The sequence below is a fragment of the Homo sapiens genome, chromosome 16, assembly GCF_000001405.40.
Source record: "Homo sapiens chromosome 16, GRCh38.p14 Primary Assembly".
NCBI classification, from domain to species: Eukaryota; Metazoa; Chordata; class Mammalia; order Primates; family Hominidae; genus Homo; species Homo sapiens.
The window spans coordinates 67,619,312-67,639,540 of record NC_000016.10 but is presented as its reverse complement, the minus strand read 5'-3'; the positions used below and the strand labels follow the sequence as shown (position 1 = coordinate 67,639,540).

The window sequence follows — 20,229 nt, the reverse complement described above, 5'->3', positions numbered from 1 at the left end:
GTGGCAGGCGCCTGTAGTCCCAGCTACTCGGGAGGTTGAGGCAGGAGAATGGCGTGAACCTGGGAGGTGGAGGTTGCAGTGAGCTGAGATTGCGCCACTGCACTCCAGCCTGGGCAACAGAGCGAGACTCCATCTCAAACAAAACAAAACAAAACAAAACAAAACAAAAAAACAGTTACAGCAGGATGCGCTCAATATCCAGTCACCCGCCAAGATCATATCGTCCCATCTGCTAGAGAAAGTACCATCCCAGGGAACAGAGGTTGCCTGTGAAAGGCAGCAGCCTGCACAGCCTGGAACCATGTATGCAGCCCCCCAGCCTCCCTCAAGCAGGCAGGAATCACGCAAGATGGAGTCTTTGGAGCACTTGTTAATCCGTTATGATTTATTAGCTGTACAGCAGTAGATCCTCCTCCCCAGCTTTCAACCCCATTACATATTTTATTACAGGTCTCATGTTGGCGTCCTAAAATAATGAAAAATATCACACAGTACAGCTAAGTACAAAATGCATCAACCTAGAGTCTGATAGCTAACTGATGGCTCTCTTAAAAGCAATACACAGAAGAAAAAAGTGTTTGAAATCAGTAAGACTGAGGCTCTCTAAAAAACACATTTTTAAACATGTGACAGTTCATGTGCAAGAATCACTTTTTAGTTGGTTTTGCTTCACATTATTTTATTTTTTGAAGATCCAAGGTTTAAATTACTGACCTAGTGAAATTTTCTGGCCCAGCTTATAAGGGCTGCTGTGAACCACTCATAATCACCCTTCTGCCTTAACAGAAGATTTATAAAACACAACAATCAGCTACAAACAGGGCAAAGAAAATGTCGATGGGAAATCATAACTGAAAGTTAATTATACAAGGTTCAAATGCTGGCTCCGTGGGCTGGAAATCATGATCTGCCACGTGCATGTCCGTCACTGGTGGGCAGTGGTCTGGGTGCCATTCTGCTACATGATTGTGATCCAATTCCTTGTCAACATTTACACACTACAGAGTCTGTGGTAACTTAATTTGCAAGTAATTAAAATGCTGGGTTTTCTTACACTGCACTTCTTTTCAACCTCTTAATTAATGGAAAAGATTAAAATGTAAAAAAAGTTATTTACAAGCTTGACCATACCAGAAACTTTGCCAAGAAAGAGGCAAAGCTTTCAGGACAGAACCTGATCGTAGCATGCCATACTACTGGTGTGCAGCTGACTCCAAGCAAAGGGAGTCAGGGAAAAGCAAAAGCAAAAAACAGTTTAAAACTCTAAGTCCTTCCCAAGTATGCATTTACAATTAAAAACTCTCTTGGGAAGAAGACCATAGAACTCTGGGAAGCCTGGTGGCCATTCTGGAGTGGTTTACCACATGGAGGGAGGGGTCAATGTCTCCGTTTCCATCTAGGAAAACGAGTTAGTTGTCAACACTGTCCTCAGCACTTCACAGTAAACCCTCAGGGACTCAGAACATTCCATGATTTGCTAACATCAGACAGCAAGTTCTAGTTAAATCACATTTTTTTCTAACATCATCCTTGAAGTTTTCGTTCTCGGTATGTTTGGTAAAATGATGCTTTTCCCAAAGCCAAAAAAAGAAAGAAGGGAGAAAAATTAAGATGCGGGCCGTTTAAACACAGCCCAGAGAAGTCCTGGCGACGCACAAGGCTCCGCCATCACCGGTCCATCATGCTGAGGATCATCTCGGGCGTGAGGTCTCCGTTGGGGGCATCTGTGGCAGCTGGCTGGGCCTCCTCTTCCTCTCCCTCTGCGGGCTCAGCATCTGGCTCTTTTTTTACTTCAACTATAATGTTCTCAATTGCACCTGTATTCTGGTCTTCAACCTGAATGATAGCTGTTGCTGGCAAAGAAGAGCACAGACAGAACAAATGGTCCATTAAAGCCCCAAGAATCACAAGGGTCTTTTAGACTGACAGCGAACGGGATGTCAGCAATGCAGGACAGCCTTATTAGATAGCGGTCCAGAGACAGTCAATTTATTTTTTATTTTATTTTTTGAGACGGAGTCTTGCTCTATGACCAGGCTGGAGTGCACGGGCATGATCTCAGCTCACTGCAACCTCTGCCCCCCGGGTTAAAGCAATTCTCCTGCCTCAGCCTCCTGAGTAGATGGGACTACAGGTGCCCACCCCTACGCCTGGCTAATTTTTGTATTTTTAGCAGAGATGGGGTTTCACCATGTTGACCAGGCTGGTATGGAACTACTGACCTCAGGTGATCCTCCCGCCTTGGCCCCCCAAAGTGCTGGGATCACAGGCATGAGCCACCGCCTGACCCTGAGTTTCTTAGAAGGGGCAATCTCAGTGCAGAAACTGCTTTCCCTCTCCAACCTTTACGATTTGGCTCTTTTATATTCATTACCGCATCCATTCTGCCAGCTGACTGTGACTTTGGTTGTTTTTCAAAACCCGCCCACATTAACAGTACCCATCTTGCAGAACACAAGTACCCTTCTACTCTGGACTTCTTCTTGAAATGTAACAGGCCTCTAAAGACTTCCTCAGATGTTCCTCAGTAAAAACTCCTAAAAAGCCATTTCCTGAGAGTTTGTTCTCGACATGCCCTTAACTTGTTCTCATGGCTTAGTTCCCACATCCCCAAAGAACAAGGACCCATCTGGCTCCCCCACATGCTCGGAGAAGACGCCAGCCTCCAGAGCAGAGATGAACAACTTACGCTGGTTCTGTTTGGGCTGGTTGGTTCTGCCAGGGGGTCGTCCTCTCCGCTTCTTGGCGGGTGGTGGGGCTGGGGTCACAGGCTGAGGCTCTGGCTCAGGTTCAATTTCTACGGCAGGCTCCTCCTCATCCTCATTGTCGTCCAGATCTGGTTCAGCATTTTCTTTTCATGAAATCAGGAAGCACAGGTGGTGGGGCAAGGAGAAGGGTGGTGGAAGATGAAAGAAAACAATTATATATTATTTGAAGTCTTGTTTTATAAATATATATATATATATATATACACTTTCTTTCTTTTTTTTTTTTTGAGACAGTCTCACTCTATTGCCCAGGCTGGAGTGCAGTGGCGCGATCTCGGCTCACTGCAATCTCTGCCTCCCAGATTCAAGCAATTCTCGTGGCTCAGCCTCCTGAGTGGCCGGGACTACAGGCACGCACCACCATGCCCAGGTAATTTTTTTTTCCTTCTTTTTTTTTTTTTGAGACAGAGTCTCACTCTGTCGCCCAGGCTGGAATGCAGCGGCACGATCTCAGCTCACTGCAACCTCTGCAACCTGGGTTTAATTCTCCTGTCTCAGCCTCCTGAGTAGCTGTGACTACAGGCATACGCCACCACACCTGGCTGATTTTTGTATTTTTAGTAGAGATGGGGTTTCACCATATTGGTCAGGCTGGTCTTGAATTCCTGACCTCAGGTGATCCACCTGCCTCGGCCTCCCAATGTGCTGGGATTACAGGCATGAGCCAACGTGCCCAGCCAATCCAGATAATCTTTGTATTTTTTGTAGAGATGGGGTTTCGCCATGTTGGCCAGGCTGGTCTCAAACTCCTGACCTCAGGCAATCTGCCTGCTTCGGCCTCCCAAAGTGCTGGGATTACAGGTGTGAGCCAGCATGCTCAGCCAATTATTAAGAAAAATCAATTTAAGGCTGGGCACGGTGGTTCACACTTGTAATCCCAGCACGTTGGGAGGCTGAGGTTGGAGGATCACTCATGTTCAGGAGTTCAAGACCAGCTTGGGTAACATAGTGAGACCTTATCTCTACAAGAAATAAGAAACTGGCAGCTGGGCGTGGTGGCTCACACCTGTAATCCCAGTACTTTGGGAGGCTGAGGTGGGTGTATCACCTGAGGTTGGGAGTTTGAGACCAGCCTGTCCAACATGGAGAAACCCTGACTCTACTAAAAATATAAAATTAGCTGGGCGTGGTGGCGCATACCTGTAATCCCAGCTACTCGGGAGGCTGAGGCAGAAGAATCACTTGAACCTGGGAGGCGGAGGTTGCGGTGAGCTGAGATCCGCCACTGCACTCCAGCCTGGGCCACAAGAGTGAAACTCTGTCTCCAGAGAAAAACAAACAAACAAACAAAAAACAAAAACGAAATTGACTCGGTGTGATGGCTCATGCCTGTAATCCCAGCACTTTGGGAGGGCAAGGTGGGCAGCTCACTTGAGGTCAAGAGTTCGAGACCAGCCTGGCAAATATGGTGAAACCCCGTCTCTACTTTAAAAAAAACAAAAAAACAAAAGGTGGCCAGGCATGGTGGCTCACACCTGTAATCCCAGCACTTTGGGAGGCTGAGGCGGGTGGATCACAAGGTCAGGAGATCGAGACCATCCTCGTCAACATGGTGAAACCCTGTCTCTACTAAAATACAAAAAATTAGCCGGGTGTGATGATGCATGCCTGTAGTCCCAGCTACTCGGGAGGCTGAGGCAGTGGAATCACTTGAACCCAGGAGGCAGAGGTTGCAGTGAGCCAAGATTGCGCCACTGCACTCCAGCCTGGCAACAGAGCAAGACTCCGTCTCAAAAAAACAAACAAACAAACAAAAACAAAAACAAAATTTACCCAGCGCAGTGACTCATGCCTGTAATCCCAGCACTTTGGGAGGTTGAGGCAGGTGGATCACCTGAGGTTAGGAGTTCGAGACAAGCCTGGCCAACATGGTAAAACCCCGTCTCTACTAAAAATACAAAAATTAGCTAGGTGTGGTGGCGGCACCTGTAATCCCAGCTACTCAGGAGGCTGAGGCAGAAGAATTGCTTGAACCCGAGAGGTGGAGGTTGCAGTGAGCTGAGATCACGCCATTGCACTCCAGCCTGGGCAACAGAGTGAGATTCCGTCTCAAGGAAAAAAAATAAGAAAAAAAAAAAAAGGAAGAAATTAGCAGGACACGGTGGTGTGTGTCTGTAGTCCCAGCTACTCAAGAGACGGAGGCAAGAGGCCTGCTTAAGCCAGGGAGGTAGAGGCTGCAGCGTGCTGTGATTTCACCACTGTATTCAGCCTGGGTGATACAGTGAGATCCTGTGTAAAAAAAAAAAAAAAAAAAAAGCCCATTTAGGCTGGGCATGGTGGCTCACGCCTGTAATCCCAGCACTTTAGGAGGCCGAGGTGGGTGGATCACCTGAAGTCAGGACTTTGAGACCAGCCAGGCCAACATGGTGAAACCCCATCTCTACTAAAAATACAAAAATTAGCCAGCTGTGATGGCGGGCACCTGTAATCCTAGCTACTTAGGAGGCTGAGGTATGAGAATCACTTGAACCTGGGAGGCGGAGGTTGCAGTGAGCTGAGATCACTCCACTACACTCCAGCCTGGGTGACAGAGTAAGACTTTGTCTGGGAAAAACAAACAAATAACAACAAAAATAAATAAAAACTAAAAACAAAACAAAAGCCCATTTAAAAATGCTTTTAGGGGAGCAGGGTGTGAGGTTCCAAAAAATAATAAATAAAAATGCTTTTGCTGGAATTTTTGCTATCAGGATTAATATAATAAACAGGTATTACAGCAGAATGAAGCAAATCGACTTGAATACTATTATTCACATTTTATGTGGGATTGGCTATTACTTTTTCCTTTTAGCTTTAGACCCTTTTTTGACTCAACACAATACCGAATTTCAAATTCTCATGATCCCCCTACCTACTATACCAGGATAAAGCAGGACACTAAGCCGGAAATGGACCCTTGGAGATGTGGTTCTGCTCATCTCTAAGTGGGCAGGAAGGGTAAGAGTGAGTGAGTGAGAGTGTGTGTGTGTGTGTGTGTGTGTGTGTGTGTGTCAGGGGACAAGACGGAAATTCTTTTTCTTTTTTTTTGAGGCGGGGTCTTGTTCTGTCACCCAGGCTGGAGTGCACTGGTGCGGTCATAGCTCACTGCAGCTTCTAACTCCTGACCTCCCAAAGTGTTAGGATTACAGGCTTCATCCATCACGCCTGGCCAGAAATTCTTACGCATTGTGAGGTCCTATTTACTAAGGTAAGTAGCAAGAGTTCTTTTGAAACTATTATTGATTCTCTTTTAAGGTCAAGTTTTTGGACTTAATTCCCAGCTGTACTAGACCCAATGTGTCATTTCCAACCCTCTTGCTCTCCTCCCTAATGCCACAATTGTCCATTCGTGGTAAAATAAGTGGTACATGAAAGTGAGGAAACTATTGTATAAAGAATACTGACGAGGAGCCAGGCAACAAGGCTGAGTCTCAGATCTCTTACTAGGTACGTGACCTGGGACATCTGACCAGCTGAGACTCAGTTTCCCTGAGTAATTTCTGTAACATTCTCACTCCATTTAATAGTGACACCTGGGGATCAACAGGACTCACGGAACTCATTTAATCCTGCTCCGTAACCTATAGTCTACCACAAACACAGCTTTTACTTATAGCAAACATCACAATTTAAAAATTCACCATTTTCCACTTAGGCTTCAGTACTTCATTGAATGAGGGTGTTACCCTCATTTTATAGAAAAAGTGAGAAACTAAGTGACTGCAATGCACAGCTAAGTCACAGCAGGTAGAATTCAAACCTCTGCCCTCAGTCTGGGGCTGTTCTGGCGCCCACATCTGCAGGCAGCCAAAGAGCTTTTGTTATCCCTCCCCCATGGCTGCGGCACAAAATGTACACTGCCTGCCTTCCTCTAGAAAGCACGGGTTATTAACATGCACTCTCTTTCTCTGGAACAAAATGTTTAAATTTAGAGATCTGTGGGTAAACTCCTGATCTTCCAGATAAAATGCCTTATTTCTCAAGTGACTGAAATCCTAAGTGAAAACGTGGGGAATATATAGATAGGTGGCAGTGTGTCAAGAACGAGAGATGCTTCCCTGCTGAACTTCTTCAAGCCCTCTATTGCCTAAGTTGGCCCAATGCCTAGAAAACTAAACAAGTTCAGTCAGAATTGGGGGAAAAGCACACAAAAGCAGGCTAACAGGATCAAAGGCTTATTGGCTTGGTGGTATTTCAGCAAAAAGCCTTGAAAACAGCAGTAGACCATCTGCTGGTCAATCTCTGTAGACAGCCGACAGGCAGAACTTCTGGGTCAGGACAAGTAAGACTGCATGGCCAACAGTGGCATGGAGCCCAGGCTGACGTCCCTTTTCTGGGGGAGATAAAGAGTCACTAGGTATAAGGCCTGGAACCAAATTCCATGCTCTACTAACCAGCAGCAGACAGAACACAGAACTGTAGAAATCTATCAGAAGCTATCAATAATCTCTTTTGACTAAAGATGCTTCTGGTTACATACAATTAGGGAAAGAAGCTGGTCTTCCTGGAGATGAACCACAGAAGTGAACAAGGCAGTATCAGGAGAAAGCAGGACATAGGACAGAGTCTGGCAGCAGGCGGCTTTGCAACTAAGAACAACTATAGGGATCCCCAAGGTTAAGATTATCTGATCACTGGTAATATCTGGGAGTCTCCTAACATTTCTGAAAACCCCCAACAGTTCAGTGCAATAATTTTTTTCCCTTTTTTTTTTTTTTTGGAGACAGGGTCTCGCTCTGTTACCCAGGCTGGAGTGCAGTGACACTATCTCAGTTCACTGCAGCTCAACCTACTGGGCTCAAGCCATCCTCCCACCTCAGCCTCCCAGGTAGCTGGGACCGCAGGCGCAGGCCACAACCCCCTGCTGATTTTTGTATTTTTTTGTAGATAACAGGGTTTTGCCATGTTCCCCAGGCTGGTCTTGAACTCCTGAGCTAAGGTGATCTGCCTGCCTTGGCCTACCGAAGTGCTGGGATTACAGGCGTGAGCCACCATGACCAGCTGCAAATTGACATCTTAAAGGAGGCATACACTTAACACCCAGTGACTGAAGAAGATGCTACTTAAAACGGATACTCCATTTAAAAAAAGGAAAAAAAAAAGGGGGGGGGGGTGGGGGGGACCTTGTTACAGATCCAAACATAAACAGCTTAGTGCTTTCATGAGAAAGTTTTACAATAAAACCCATAAAGTAGCTGGGTGCAGTGGCTCATGCCTATAATCCCAGCACATTGGGAGGTCGAGGCAGGAGGATCACTTGAGCCCAGGAGTTACGAGACCAGCCTGAGCCACACAGTGGGACCCCATCTCTATTTAAAAACAAAAAAACAGCCGGGCACAGTGGCTCACATCTGTAATCCCAGCACTTTGGGAGGCCGAGGCGGATGGATCACCTGAGGTCAGGGGTTCTGGACCAGCCTGGCCAACATGGTGAAACCCTATCTCTACTAAAAATACAAAAACTAATAGGGTGTGGTGGGGCATGCCTGTAATCCCAGCTACCTGGGAAGCTGAGCAGGAAAATCGCTTGAACCCAGAAGGTGGAGGTTGCAGTGAGCAGAGATCGCACTACTGCACTCCAGCCTGGGCAACAAGAGGGAGACACTGTCTCAAAAAAAAAACAAAAAACAAAAAAAAAACAAACAAAGAACAAAAAAAGCCCAATAAAGTCACTAAAGTTCTCCAATATGTTCCTTCTTCAAAAATCTCAACCCCTCCCCACTATTTCTACTGACAACCAGTGCAAAACACAATATGAAGAATCCCTAGACTATCAGGCATCATCTATAATCTCTCCAGTTTAATGGTGCTTCTGGGAAGTCCATTTCCTAAAACCAAACTCTCTACCACCTTTTCCATCCATACCTTAAGTCTTTAGTTACAGAGGTGCCTTCCCACCTGGATGCCAGCAACCTAGATATCCACACTACAGAATCTAACACTCTGAACATGTTTGTGTAATTAAATGTGGCCTCCAAGTTACCAAGACTCTTGTTCCTCCACCCTCTTTGTGAGGCTTGGCACTTTTTGTTTTTTTTGGAGACAAGGTCTCACTTCGACCACCAGACTGGAAGGCAGTGGCGTGATCACAGCTCACTGCAGCCTCAATTTCCCGGGCTCAGGTGATTCTCCCACCTCAGCCTCTCGAGTAGCTGGGACTATCGGCATGTACCACCACACCTGGCTAATTTTTAAATTTTTTGTAGAGACAAGGTTTTGCCATGTTCCCCAGGCTGGTCTCGAACTCCTGACCTCAAGTGATCTGCCCATCTTTGTCTCCCAAAGTGCTGGGATTACAGGCATGAGCCACTGTGCCCGACCGAGGCTTGGCACTTCTAAGCACAACCTCCTGCCTGGGTTTCATGACTAGAGAGGCAAAAAACACTCCAAAGAGTACCTGTGGTAGGAAAATAGGCAAGATTTTAAACTTTAAATGGAGAGATTAAGGTAGGAAGAGAAAGGCTGACCTTCACTGACTTGATCAGCACCTCTCAAGGTTAGGCTGACACAGGCAGTCAAACCATAAGTGAAGATGCTTAAACAACCTTCTTCATGTCCATTAGATTCACTGCTCTTATCTAGACCAGCTTCCTAAATGTAAAAGTTAAGAACATAGGAAAAGAAACTCTGCTGGCCTTAGAATATCACAAATTTGAATAAACTGAATAAAAATATTAATTTTGCTTTAACTCAAGATTACGTATAAGGCATTAATAATGGCCGGGCGCAGTGGCTCACACCTGTAATCCCAGCACTTTGGGAGGCTGAGGAGGGCGGATCATGAGGTGAGGAGATCGAGACCATTCTGGCTAACACGGTGAAACCCCGTCTCTACTAAAAAATACAAAAAAATTAGCCAGGCCTGGTGGTGGGCGCCTGTAGTCACAGCTACTCGGGAGGCTGAGGCAGGAGAATGGCGTGAACCCGGGAGGCTGAGCTTGCAGTGAGCCGAGATCGCGCCAGTGCACTCCAGCCTGGGCGACAGAGCGAGACTCCGTCTCAAAAAAAAAAAAAAAAAAAAAAAAAAAAAAAAAAAAAAAAAAAAAAGGGCATTAATGAGCGGAATGCCACGAAGAAAAAAGAAAATATGCCCCAGAAAAACACTAACTGCTGTTGTAAATAGACGTTAGGAGATGAGAAGTTTAAAGAAAGGAAGAGTGTGTGCCCGCCTCTATATCCCAGCATATCCATACATAAACACACTGGAAACTGGGCTCCAAAGCCTGCCATAGTAAGCAAATCAAGGAACAAGTCACTTACCACTGTCAGAGGAATCTTCTTTCTTAGAGCGCATCTTTCTTTTTCTTCCACGTTTACTCTTCTTCGTTTCTCCTCCATTTTCCCCCTCTACGCCATCTGGGCCAGCACAATTATCAGCATGTCTTGCCATGGTATTCTAACAAAAAGAACAAAATCCTCTTTCACACCACTAAAAAAGCTAAGATCAGATTGGAAGTTATTTACTTTAATAAAATCCATATTAAGCCTAAAAATTCTAGTATCTGCTAAGTGTGTCCTGAACACGCTGTCTCTGCTCAGGGGAAATGGATAAGGCTGGGTTCTCTAAGGGGAGGCTCAGCAGCCTGCAGACAGAGACGGGGGAGGATCAGACCAGCTCTTAGTTCTGTCAAGATCTAACAGAGCCCCCAAGAGAAGACCCAGAACAGGCTACAGCTAGCTAAGGGTGGGGTAGGGTGGGGTGCAGGTTTCAATCCACCTAAGGAAATTTTTTTTTTTTTTTTGAGACGGAGTCTTGCTCTTTCGCCCAGGCTGGAGTGCAGTGGTGCCATCTCGGATCACTGCAAGCTCTGCCTCCCGGGTACACGCCATCCTCCTGCCTCAGCCTCCTGGGAGTACAGGGGCCCGCCACCGCACCCAGCTAATTTTTTGTATTTTTAGTAGAGACGGTGTTTCACCATGTTAGCCAGGATGGTCTCGATCTCCTGACCTCGTGATCCACCCACCTTGGCCTCCCAAAGTGCTGGGATTACAGGCGCGAGCCACCGCGCCTGGCCAGGAAATTTCTTTATGCAATCAATCTATTCAAAGATACTGTGTTCCCCATCAGTGGAAGGGTTCACACATGGATAGAAACATCAAGATGGGGATGACTAACCCTTTCCAAACAATGGAGCATCTCTGTTTATAACCTCAGTGAAAAAAACTACCATGCTCTGCAGAGGAAGACCAAAAATCCAATATTCAGTATCATAACAGGCAAAGTGAAGTTCTGACCCTTACCCGACGTGTAAATGTTTTCCCACACTTAGAACAGACAAAAGCCGCAGGGACGAAGTTGGGGTCGTGATAGCGCTTGAAGTGCATGTCGAGAAGCTGCTTCTGGCGGAAGGTCTTATCGCAGTGGCTGCAGGCGTAAGGCTTCTCCCCGGTGTGGGTGCGCTTGTGCATGATCATGTGCCTCTCCTGAAACGGCATAGGGGGAAAGGCCTCAGAGCCTGCTCATGGGGCTACTGCCCCAGCTGCCACCTGCATGCATGTGGCCAACAGGTATTTCTCACCCAAGCTAGGTCTAGACTCCACACGGCTTGTTGAGATGATAAAGCTATATATTTAGAGACAGGGTCTTGCTCTGTTGCAAAGTCTGGAGAGCAGTGGTGTGATCATGGCTTACTGCAGCTTCAAAATGGGACCATAGGTATGAGCCACCATGCCTGGCTAATTTTTTTTGTTTTTTTTTTGAGACGGAGTCTCGCTCTATCGCCCAGGATGGAGTGCAGTGGCGCGATCTTGGCTCGCTGCAACCTCCACCTCCCGGATTCAAGCAATTCTCCTGCCTCAGCCTCTTGAGTAGCTGCGATTACAGGTGCCTGCCACCACACCCAGCTGACTTTTTTTTTTTTTTTTTTTTTTGAGATGGAGTCTCACTCTGTCGCCCAGGCTGGAGTGCAGTGGCGCAATCTCGGCTCACTGGGTTCATGCCATTCACCTGCCTCAGCCTCCGGAGTAGCTGGGACTACAGGCACCCACCACCACGCCCAGCTGATTTTTTGTACAGACGGGGTTTCACTGTGTTAGCTAGGATGGTCTTGATCTCCTGACCTTGTGATCCACCTGCCTCGGCCTCCCAAAGTGCTGGGATTACAGGCGTGAGCCACCGCGCCCGGCCGACCTTCGTGTTTTTTTGTTTTTTTTTTTTAGTAGAGATGGGATTTCACCAGGTTGGCCAGGCTGGTCTTGAACTCCCAACCTCAAATGATCTGCCTGCCTTGGCTTCCCAAAGTGCTGGGATTACAGGTGTGAGTCACCGTGCCTGGCCCCAGCTAATTTTTTCTTTTTCTTTTGGAGACAGAGTCTCGCTCTGCCACCCAGGCTGGAGCGCAGTGGCGCAATCGCGGCTCAATGCAACCTCCGCCCCAGGTTCAAGCGATTCTCCTGCCTCAGCTTCCAGAGTAGCTGGGATTACAGGCGTCTATCACCATGCCCGGCTAATTTTTGTATTTTTAGTAGAGGCGGGGTTTCACCGTGTTGGCCAGGCTGCTCTCAAGCTCCTGACCTCAAGTGATCCGCCCACCTCAGCCTCCCAAAGTGCTGGGATTACAGGCGCTCGAGCCACCGCGCCCGGCCCTAATTTTTTCTTTTTGTAGAGATGGGGTCTCTCTCTGTTGCCTATCTCGGCCTCCCAAAGTGCTAGGATTACAGGTGTGAGCCACTGCACCCGGCTTGATAAAGGTATTTTTAGTGTGGTGCACAACTGCTTCCATAATTGTAGCACAGATAGAGCTGCTTATTCCTGCTGAGCTCCTTCTTTGGCTCCCTCCCAACAGTCATGTCCCCGCATGAGATTCTTCCCCTCTCTCAAGTCCTGGACTTACTTTCCACAGTTTTCAGAAAGATGTCTGCTTAAGGAAGAGGTAAGCTGTGACTGAATAAAACATCATCTGGACACCGGGATGACACAATTGACAAGGAGCATGACCTTTGATTTTGGTGACATTCCTCATAATCCACAGTTTGAAAATACTATCTTTAAAAACAGCCACTGTACTAGATATGTAAATGCCCTCTGATAACACCAGACACCGAGAAAGCACCAACAACTTTCAATGAAGGTTCCTACCTGTCTACAAGCGTAATCACACTGGTCACACTTAAAGCGCTTCTCATTCTTGTGTGACTTCTGATGCTGGATGAGGGCATAGCGCTCATGAAACACAGCATCACAGTAACGGCATTTCTTGCCTTGCTCAATATAGGAATGCTGCTTTCGCAAGTGGACACCTGAAAGCACAGTAAAAAGCCCAGGGTAATGTGAAAACACAAACAAGCATTTTAACAAGTTACTAATACATTTCTCGATTCTTTTTTTTTTTTTTTTTTTTTGAGACGGAGTCTTGCTCTGTCACCCAGGCTGGAGTGCAGTGGCGCAATCTCAGCTCACTGCAAGCTCCACTTCCCAGGTTCATGCCATTCTCCCGCCTCAGCCTCCTGAGTAGCTGGGACTACAGGCGCCCGCCACCATGCCCGGCTAATTTTTTTATTTTTTATTTTTGTATTTTTAGTAGAGACAGGGTTTCATCATGTTAGCCAGGATGGTCTCAATCTCCTGACCTCGTGATCTGCCCGCCTCGGCCTCCCAAAATGCTGGAATTATAGGTGTGAGCCACTGCGCCCAGCCCATTTCTCCTGATTCTTAAGTATTACTCTGGGTGCTATACAGAAAATGAATGAAAAGGCAGAGTAACAGGTGCAGGGAGAACAATTAAGATTGTTCAAACAGGATAGGTGGGAGAAGATGGTGGCTGGGACAAGGGTGATGACAATGGGTGTGGATGGAAGGGGAAGAACTGATGAGAGATGGAAGCAGTTGAATCAACAGGATTTAGTGACTGTAGAGAGTGAAGAATAAAGTAGGTATCAGGCCTGGAAAACCAGGTAGCTGTTGGGGTCATTTATTGAGACAAGAATAGTGGAAGAGGGCTTAAGACCAAGTTGTATGTGTTATTTTCAGGGTCGGGGGGTGGGGGGGCATAGGGGACAGAGAAGTTTTAGACCTTCAGTTTTAGACATGCTGAATTTGAAATGCCAGAGATATAAAAGCAGGGGTGGGATGGCAAGGGATACACAGTTATATAAGGCTAACTCAAAAGAAAGATCTGGAGTAGGAATATAAATGTACAAGTTGTTAGGATTTGAAAGCAGCTATGCTTATCACTGTACCACCAATGCCACAAAGAGTTGTTAGAATTTGAGCCCATGGGAGCTGATAAGATCACCAAGGCAAAAAGTAGAATTAAAATAAAAAGAATGGGTCATGCTTTGAGAAGTCTAAGAGTTGGCAGGCACAGTGGCTCACGCCTGTAATCCTAGCACTTTGGGAGGCCATGGCAGGTGGATCACCTGAGGTGACGAGTTCAAGACCAGCCTGGCCAACATGGCAAAACTCTGTCTCTACTAAAAAGTACAAAAATTAGCTGGGCGTGGTGGTGTATGCCTGTAAACCTGTAATCCCAGCTACTCGGGAGGCTGAGGCAAGAAAATGGCTTGAACCTGGGGGGCAGAGGTTGCAGTGAGCCAAGATTGTGCTACTGCACTGTACTCTAGCCTGGGCGACAAAGACTCCATCTCAAAAAGAATCCCAGCACTTTAGGAGGCAAAGGTGGGTGGATCACCTGAGGTCAGGAGTTTGAGACCTGGCCTGGCCAACATATAGTGAAACCCGTCTCTACTGAAAAATACAAAAATTAGCTAGGCATGGTGGCGTACACCTGTGGTCCCAGCTACTCGGGAAAATGAGGAAGGAGAATCATTTAAACCAGGGAAGTGGTGGTTGCAGTGAGCCGAGATCGCGCCACTCTACTCCAGCCTGGGTGACAGAGTGAAACTCCGTCTCTCACACAAAGCACACAAGCACACATACACACAAAGAAGTCTCAGAGTTGGGCCAGGTGTGGTGGCTCACACCTGTAATCCTAGCATATTGGGAGGCTGAGGTGGGTGGATTGCTTGAGTCCAGGAGTACGAGACCAGCCTGGGCAACATAGTGAAACCCTGTCTCTACCAAAAGCTAAAAAAAAAAATTAGCTGGTCATCGTGGCATGTGCCTGTGGTCCTAGCTACCAGGGAGGCTGAGGTGGGAGGATTCCTTGAGCCTGGTCGATGCTGCAGTGAGCCAAGACTGAGCCACCGAACTCCAGCCTGGGCAACAGAGCAAGACAGTCTCCAGTAAAAAACAAAAACAAAAACAAAAACCTTGGAGTTAAGGCCAGTGAGAGAAAAAAAGGTTAAAATAAGAGAAAGTTTAAAGAAGTAAGAGGAAGAAGAAAACCAACAGGATTTAGTGTCACAGAGGCCAAGGGAAGAAAGTGTTTCAAAGGAAGAGGGTACTGTCAACGATGAAGAACACTGCTAACAGATCAAGTCATCTCTTAGGAAGAAGAGTGGAAAGGAGTCTTCACTACATTCAGAGAGTGGGGTCATTCATGACCTTAAGCAACAGTCATTATACCAGAGTGATGGGGAATAAGCCAGACAAGAGGGAAAGATGAGGGGGAGAAGACTGTGAGGGATGTTAACTCTTCATAAAGGCTGGCTGGGAAGGAGAGAAGAGTTAAACCTAGAGGGTGAAGACATACATATATATAAAAATACATATATATATGAATACATATATATATACACACATATATACACACACACACATATATATACACACACATACACACACACACACACACACACACACACACACACACACACACACATATATAATTTTTTTTTTTTTTTTTGAGACAGTGTCTCACTCTCTTGCCCAGGCTGGAGTGCCGTGGCGCGATCTCCGCTCACTGCAACCTCCCCCTCCCGGATTGAAGCAATTCTCCTGCCTCAGCCTCCCAAGTACCTGGGACTACAGGCATGTGCCACCACACCCGGCTAATTTTTGTATTTTTAGTAGAGATGGGGTTTCACTGTGTTAGCCAGGATGGTCTTCATCTCCTGACCTTGTGATCCGCCCATCTCAGCCTCCCAAAGTGCTGGGATTAGAGGCGTGAGCCACCGTGCCCGGCTATATTTTTATTTATTTTAAGAGACGGGGTCTTGCTATATCACACAGGTTGGTCTAGAACTCCTGGCCCATCCTCCTGAATAGCTGAAACTACAGGTGTGAGCCACTGTGTCTGGCTAAGATTCTTTTTTTTTTTTGAGATGGGGTCTCTCTGTCACCCAAGCTGGAGTGCAGTGGCACGATCTCGGCTCGTTGCAACCTCTACCTCTTAAGCTCAAGTGATCCTCCCACCACAGCCTCCTGAGTAGCTGGAACCAAGGGTGCACCTCACCACAACCGTTTTGTATTTTTGGTAGAGATGGAGTTTTGCCATGTTGCCCAGGCTGCTCCGGAACTCCTAAGCTCAAATGATCCACCCACCTTGGCCTCCCAAAGTGCTGGGATTACAGGCGTGAGCCACTGCGCCTGGCCCTTTGTCTTTATTTTTTAAGTAGGAAGAGAAGTCATTTACTGAGACCAAGAGGGGAGAGAAAAAAGAAGGAAAATTAGAGGTTATAAGAAAATAGGAGTAGGGGATCTGGTGTAGCAGCTCTCGCCTGTAATCCCAACACTTTGGGAGGCCAATGAGGGCAGATCACTTGAGGTCAGGAGTTCGAGAGCAGCCTGGCCAACATGGTGAAACCCTGTCTCTACTAAAAATACAAAAATTAGCCATGGGCGGGCACCTGTAGTCCCAGCCACTTGGGAGGCTGAGGCAGGAGAAGAGCTTGAACCCAGGAGGCGGAGGTTGCAGTGAACAGAGATCAGGCCACTGCACTCTGGCCTGGGTGACAAGTGCAAAACTTTGTCACAAAAAAAAGCAAGTGAGGGCTGGGCGCGGTGGCTCATGTCTGTAATCCCAGCACTTTGGGAGGCCGAGGTAGGCAGATCACCTGAGGTCAGGAGTTCAAGACCAGCCTGGCCAACATGGTGAAACCCCATCTCTACTAAAAAATACAAAAAAAAAAAAAAAAAAAAATTTAGCCGGGCATGGTGGTATGCGCCTATAATCTCAGCTACTCAGGAGGCTGAGGCAGGAGAATCACTTGAACCTGGGAGGCACAGGTGGCAGTGAGCTGAGTTCATGCCATCATACTCCAGCCTGGGTGACGAGAGGAAAACTCCATCTCAAAAAAAAAAAAAAAAAAAGTAAGAGTAGGTTGCCCAACTCTATATAAGCACCAAACACTGTGGAATGAATTCGCTCACTCATAAAGAACTGGAGCACACCTGACAAGAACAAACAGCTGGAACAGCTAGGAGCAGTGAGGGCCCAGCTACATTTGGGATCATGAATTTATGTATTTACGGTACTACAAGTTGTATCAACTGAGGTGATATCCCACTAAACTTAAAGAGAGCTAATTATTGGGAGTAGATATGAGGTAAGGGAGAGGATGGCTCTCACTTTTTACTCGTTACCTTTTTTTTTTTTGAGACAGAGTCGCGCTCTGTCACCCAGGCTGGAGTGCGGTGGCGTGATCTCTGCTCACTGCAAGCTCCACCTCCCAGGTTCACGCCATTCTCCTGCCTCAGCCTCCCGAGTAGCTGGGACTACAGGCGCCCACCACCATGCCCAGTTAATTTTTTGTATTTTTAGTAGAGACAGGGTTTCACCATGTTAGCCAGAATGGTCTCGATCGCCTGACCTCGTGATCCACCCGCGTTGGCCTCCCAAAGTGCTGGGATTACAGGTGTGAGCTGCCGCGCCCGGCCTACACTAAATATTATTAATAAACTCCGGCTGCATGTAAACTCTAGTTTAACTATGCACAGAAATACAGTTACCACTAAACCAATAAAACAGTCCCATTACCTAGAGAAAGTACAGACGTTCTCAAAAAAATACAATAGAATGACCTGAGTTTGAATCACACTATGTTACTTTCCTATTTGGGGAAGGAAGGCTACTAATTAAAGGTGTACTCTGTCTCCTCCCATCACAGCTCCCATTAATTTATAGATGAGTTTTACTCAGGACAGAATCTTGTGGCCTGACTACAGTAAGAAAAGGAAGAAATAGAAAAAAAAAAAAAAAAAAAGCAGCTAAGCAATGGCTTTTACTAAACTAAGTGACAGGCCATTCCTATACATAAAATGTTATGAGAGTCAGAAGGTGAAGTTATTTTTGATCCCCATATTTCGAAATATAAATCCTTCAAAATATTTTTTTCACTTCTCACTAGTTAATCTACTTACCCAAATCACTTTTTCGGGCTATGACTGTGTCACAGTGGGGACAGTGAAATTTGGCCACATTTTCTGTGTGCTTCTGTAAAATGTGCATCTTCATGGTACCACTTTGGGTAAACCGAGCATGACAAATATAACATTCATAAGGCTTTTCCCCTTTAAAGAAAATACAGAATGAACACATAAATGAAATGAATAAATACTGTAATTTAACTGGAGGGTAACTCAGGTGGCAGATATGCTACACCACAGAGAATCTACAGGTCTTAGGAAGGCTGAGGCTCAGTCCCAGTTCCCGGATCTTGTCTATCTTCAGATATGGCCAAGTCCTAAACTGCTGCTGGCCACCTCTGCTCTGCCCAGCTCTACTCTGGAATCCTCCACATTACAGCAATGCTTACCTTTGGGGGAGACTGAATGGAGAACCCACAAGTTTTTCTTTTTAGGAAAAGACAATATCCAGGAAAACTGAATAAGGTAGGTTAGGAAATCTACCCAGACTTTTAAAATTAAAATCTGTCCATTTTAACTTAATTTCTCCCTTAAAATTTTTCTTGTTGTAGGCAGATTCAAGTTGAACAAAACAAAAGGTACTATTTTCTAATGTGTTTTCTGAACAACGAATTCAGAGGATATGCCGGAGAAGCATTATCAATTCCATACTATTTTCATGCCAGTCTTCATTCATATAAACAATGGGGACACACAGTGGTCCACAGGGTCCCATGGGATTCACTGAAAAGAAGCTCATTAATACAGTAAGGAGTGGAGAAGTCCTACCTGAATGGGTTCTCATGTGCCTTTTCAGCTTGTATGTGTCCCTGCTGGCATAACTGCACAAACTGCACTGAAACGGACGCTCTCCAGTATGAGAGCGAATGTGACGTTTTAATTTGCTGACCTGAAATACGAAAACAACCGAACTTTAACTTCTGTTAACACAGACTGTAACAAGAGCACAGTAGGTTAGGCACAAAAGCTTAGCTTTGGGGCACTGAAGTTCAGAATACAGAAGTCTAAAAGATAACCTTCTTCCCTCTTCATTATTTGTAAACTTTGCTTCTCGAATCCATATCATTATCTAAGAGAAGTGGGTAAATGAATACGGGTATAGATAAGCCAAGATTGGTCATTACTTGGGAGGCTGAGGTGGGCAGATCATCTGAGGTCAGGAGTTCAAGACCAGCCTGGCCAAATGGTGAGACCCCGTATCTACTAACAATACAAAAATTAGCCAAGCATGGTGGCACACGCCTGTAATCCCAGCTACTCGGAAGGCTGAGGCTGGAGAATCTCTTGAACCCAGGAGGTGGAGGCTGCAGTGACCCGAGATCGTGCCACTGCACTCCAACCTGGACAAGGGCGAAACTCTGTCTCAAAAAAAAAGACTGCGCATTACTAGTAACTGTTTAAGCTGGGTGGTAGGCACATGAGGATGTATTACAATCTTTACTTCTACATGTTTGAAATTTTCCATAATAGTTTAAAAATAATCCATGCCTATTTACAGATCAATTTGTTCCAAATCCTGTGTTACTGAGTACATATTTTAATTCCACTCATCCTCTTTTCCTATCATTAGCGTTTCCTAGACAGGCCAGGCTCGAAGGGCCTCTCTTCTATCATCCTCACCATTATCCATCCTTTAGTCCCCTGCAGGATACCTTATACTAAAACAGTGACTTTCAAACTTGATTCTATGAAGTGCTTTGAGGGCAGGTCACGGTGGCTCACACCTGTAGTCCCAGCACTTTGGCAGGCCCAAGGCGTGCGATTGCTTGAGGTCAGGAGTTCGAGACCAGCCTGGGCAACATGGCAAAACCCTGTCTCTACAAAAAATACAAAAATTAGTTGGGTGTGATGGCACATGCCTGTAGTCTCAGCTACGTGAGGAGCAGCTGAAGTGGGAGGATCACCTGAGCTCAGGAGTTTAAGGCTACAGTGAGCCATGATCACGCCACTGCAGTCCAGCCTGGGCGACAGAGTGAGAGACCCTGTCTGCCACGCACCCCCTGCTCCAAAAAGCGTTTTGAACATTCACTAATGTTTCAATGTTTGTTTTGAAAAATTTAAAAAGTATCCCAATTTTAAGGAAACAAACAAACAAAAAACAAAAAAACACTGTACTCATAAATGTCTCTGAGTTTTTTTTGGTTTTTTTTGAGATGAAATCTCGCTCCGTTGCCCAGGCTGGAGTACACTGTCACGATTGTGGGTCACTGCAACCTCCGCCTCCCAGGGTCAAGCAATTCTCCTGCCTCAGCCTCCCGAGTAGCTGAGACTACA

General features: G+C 46.2%; 1 protein-coding gene across 5 annotated transcripts in view; it reads right to left on the bottom strand.

The window, feature by feature from the left end:
* Positions 364 to 20,229, bottom strand: part of CTCF (CCCTC-binding factor) — a 76,652-nt gene continuing 56,786 nt past the window's right edge. For 3 of the 5 annotated variants that reach the window (NM_006565.4, NM_001191022.2, NM_001438968.1), the window contains 7 exons: positions 18,724 to 18,844; positions 17,950 to 18,099; positions 12,826 to 12,986; positions 10,989 to 11,171; positions 10,008 to 10,143; positions 2,690 to 2,851; positions 364 to 1,853 (listed from right to left, as the gene is read on the bottom strand). In NM_006565.4, coding sequence (NP_006556.1) covers positions 1,669 to 1,853; positions 2,690 to 2,851; positions 10,008 to 10,143; positions 10,989 to 11,171; positions 12,826 to 12,986; positions 17,950 to 18,099; positions 18,724 to 18,844 — 1,098 coding nt within the window. In that variant the 3' untranslated portion in view covers positions 364 to 1,668. The remainder of the gene's footprint in view (positions 1,854 to 2,689; positions 2,852 to 10,007; positions 10,144 to 10,988; positions 11,172 to 12,825; positions 12,987 to 17,949; positions 18,100 to 18,723; positions 18,845 to 20,229) is intronic. The other 2 variants (NM_001438969.1, NM_001363916.2) reach the window with 1 other exon arrangement.